The sequence below is a fragment of the Homo sapiens genome, chromosome 12 (assembly GCF_000001405.40).
Source record: "Homo sapiens chromosome 12, GRCh38.p14 Primary Assembly".
Classification (NCBI taxonomy): domain Eukaryota; kingdom Metazoa; phylum Chordata; class Mammalia; order Primates; family Hominidae; genus Homo; species Homo sapiens.
The window spans coordinates 82,120,955-82,124,954 of NC_000012.12; the positions used below are offsets into that span (position 1 = coordinate 82,120,955).

Below are 4,000 nucleotides of genomic sequence, written 5' to 3' on the forward strand. Positions count from 1 at the left end.
CAGAGCTGAACCCTGCAAAGTAATCTTGCGCATGAGATAGGGTCAGTCAGATCCTGAGCACGCTTCAGTCTGCTGGCCTCTCCCAGGGCCCCAGCCTGGCAGTGCCTGTTTGCAGTGCAGCCTTGGGTGCCTGGCGGGGACAGGGTAGGTAGCTCCTGGGAGCCTGCATCATAGCTCCTGCACTGGCAGACAGCACCTTACCAGAGCACTCCAGCAGAGCTGTCCCCTCCCCCACTACAGCCTCCCCCATGCCGCTTTACCTGCATGCCTTTACCCACTGCCACCCCTGATATTGCTTTACCTCCTGGTGTGTTCATGGGAGGACCTTGTTTTGTCCTTTCCTATCAGCAGGCATGTGCACATGCACCCTTCCATGCCACTGGAGTCTGTGTGAGTGCACCCTTCTCCCTGTCCCACTGCTGCATCACCATTGCTGTCCAAGCGTTGGTGGGCACAGAGCTCACCAGCTCTGCCCCTGCCAGCATTCTGCCCCTGCACCAACACTGCCACCAGCATGAAACTAGGTATGAAAAGCAATGAACCTGCCCCCACCCTGAGCAGCCACTGCCACCCACATGAATGCACACAGAGGAAACACAAAGTCCACTAGTGCCCCACCCACATGCTATCACAAACACTGGCTCAAATGTGTGCCTAGTCAATGATGGAGGCCCCTGTCCACTCCTGCTCCACAACCATGCTGCCACCACCACTGCTACAAATGCTGGCATGGAAACTGGCACTTAGGCACCTGCTAACATCCTGCTGCAGCCAACAAGCATGCACCCTGCCATGCTGCCACCACTGCTGGCATGTGCCAACTAGGATTGATTCCACTGCCACCACCCTATGAAGGGCTTTTGCTGGCACCACCCATTGGAGTGTTTTGACCAGCAGCTCAGGAGTACCTCAGCTCCTCCAGTGCAGCAAGTACCTAACCTTGAGGAGCCAAAGAAAAAAGCTGGGGCCAATATCAGTCCCCAAGCATTACAGCACACAGTCCAGTAGTAGTGCTGAGCTGAGCCTTGTCCCCCTAAAATCTTCCAGAAGCGAATTCAATCAGCTGAACCCATCTTTTATCACAATCAAATCCCCAAGGTCATCAAATAGGATAAAGGAAAAATAAATTCATCCCAAAAATAGCAACCTCAAAGATTAAAGGAACATAAGCCCACAAAGGTGAGAAAGAATAAACACAAGAACTCTGACAACTCAAAAAGCCAGAGTGCCTTCTTTCCTTCAAACGACCATACTAATTCTCCAGAAAGGGTTCTTAACAAGGTTGAGATGCCTGAAATGATAGAAATAAAATTCAGAATATGGATAGAAAGGAACATCATTGAGATTCAGAAGAATATTGAAAGCTGAGGAGGCTAAGAATCACAGTGAAACAACAAGGGAGCTGACAGATGAGATACCCAGTATAGAAAAGAATGTAACTGACCTACTAGAGCTAAAAAACACACCACAAGAATTTCATAATGCAATCACAAGTATTAACAGCAGAATAGACCAAGCAGAGGAAAGAATCTCAGAACTTGAAGACTGGCTGTCTGAAATAAGACAGTCAGAGAAGAATAAAGTAAAAAGAATGAAAAGAAACAAACAAAACCTCCATGAAACATGAAATTATGTAAAAATACCAAATATATGATTCATTGGCATCCCTGAAAGAGATGGGGAAAATAGAAACAACTTGGAAAACATATTTCAGGATATTATTCAGGAGAACTTCCCTAATCTAGCTAGAGAGGCCAACATTCAAATTCAGGAAATGCAGAGAACCCCAGCAAGATACTTCATTCACAAGAAGATCATCCCCAAGACATATAATCATCAGATTCTCCAAGGTTGAAGTGAAAGAAAAAATGTTAAAAGCAGCAAAATAGGAAAGACAGATCACCTACAAAGGGAAGTCCATCAGACTAATAGTGGACCTGCCAACAGCAACCCTACAAGTCAGCAGAGAATGGAAGCCTACATACAACATTCTTAAAGAAAAGAAATTTCAACCAAGCATTTCATATCCAGCCAAACTAAGCTTCATAAGTAAAAGAGAAATAAGATCCCTTTCAGATAAGAAATCCTGAAGGAAATCATTACCACCAGACCTGCCTTACAAGAACACCTGAAAGAAGCACTAAATGTGGAACGGAAAGATTGTTACTAACCACTACAAAAACACACTTAAGTACACAGACCAATGACACTGTAAAGCTACCACACAAACAAGTTGGCATAATAACCAGCTAATGACATGATGATAGGATCAAATCCACATAAATCAATACTAACCTTGCATGTAAACAAGCTAAATGCCCCAATTAAAAGGCACAGAGTGGCAAGGTGGATAGAGAAGCAAGACCAAATGGCATGCTGTCTTCAAGAGTCCCATCTCACATGCAGTGACACTTACAGGCTCAAAATAAAGGAATGAAGAAAAATCTACCAAGTAAATAGAAAACAGAAAAAAGCATACGTTACAATAATAATTTCAGATGAAACAGACATTTAACCAATGGATATTAAAAAAAAGACAAAGAAGAAAATTGCATAATGGTAAAGGGTACAATTCAACAAGAATATCTGACTATCCTGAATATATATGCAACCAACACAGGAGCACGCAGATTCATAAGGAAAGTTCTCAGAGACTGTCAAAGAAACTTAGACTCCCACACAATAATAGTGGGAAACTTCAACACCCTACTTACCCACTGACAATAATAGATCATCAAGGCAGAAAATTAGCAAAGACATACAGGACCTGAGCTCAACACTGGACCAAATGAACCAGATAGACATCTATAGAAATCTCACCCAAAACCAATACAATATGCATTCTTCTCATTGCCATGCGTCATGTGCTCTAAAATCCACCACATGATTGGATATAAAACAATCCTCAGCAAATGCAAAAGAATAGAAATTATACCAACCACTCTCTTGGACCACAGAGCAATAAAAATAGAAATCAAGACAAAGAAAATTGTTCAAAACCATACAACTGCATGGAAATTAAACAACCTGCTCCTGAATGACTTTCAGATAAATAATGAAGTTAAGGCAGAAATCAAGAAGTTCTTTGAAACTAACGAGAACAAAGATACAGCATACCAGAATCTCAGGAACATAACTAAAGGCATTGTTAAGAGGGAAATTCTTATCACTAAATGCACATACTAAAAAGTTAGAAAGATGTCAAATTAACAACCTATCACAACTAAAAGAACTAGACAAGCAATAATGAACCAGCTCCAAAGCTAGTGGAAGACAAGAAATAACCAAGATCAGAGGTGAACTGAAGGAGACTGAGACACACACACACAAAATCATTTGAAAGATCAATGAAGACAAGAGTTGTTTTTTTGAAAAAATTAATTAAAAAGATAGACTGCTAGCTAATCTAATGAAGAAGTAAAAAGAGAAGATCCAAATAAACACAATTAGAAACAACAAAGATGTTACCACTGAGTCCACAGAAACGCAAATAACCATCAGAGACACCCATGAACATCTCTGTTCACATAAACTAGAAAATACAGAAGAAATAAATTCCTGGACACACACACCCTCCTAAGACTGAACTAGGAATAAATTGAATCCCTGAACAGACCAATAATGAGCTCCAAAATTGAATTAGTAATAAATAGCCTACCAAATGAAAAAAGCCCAGGATCAAATAGATTCTCAGCCAAATGCTAGCAGATACACAAAGAAGAGTTGGTACCACTTCTACTGAAACTAGTCCAAAAAATTTAGGAGAAGGGACTCTTCCCCAACTCATTCTATGACGCCAGCATCAACCTGACAGCAAAATTTGGTGGAGATACAACAACAACAACAAAAAACTTCAGACCAATATCCTTGATGAACTTTGAGGCAAATATCCTAATACTAGCAAACCGAATCTGGCAGCTTATCAAAAAGCTAATCCACCCTGATCAAGTAGGCTTTATCCCTGGCATGCAAGCTTGGTTCAGCATGTGCAAATGAGTAA

At 41.4% G+C, this 4,000-nt stretch overlaps 1 annotated feature.

The window, feature by feature from the left end:
* Positions 207 to 707: an enhancer, noted in NCBI's record as "H3K27ac hESC enhancer chr12:82514940-82515440 (GRCh37/hg19 assembly coordinates)". NCBI's record gives its function as "activates a minimal SCP1, AML or CMV promoter by ChIP-STARR-seq in naive H9 embryonic stem cells {active_cell/tissue: H9 hESC(naive)}" and the evidence as "EXISTENCE:reporter gene assay evidence [ECO:0000049][PMID:30033119]".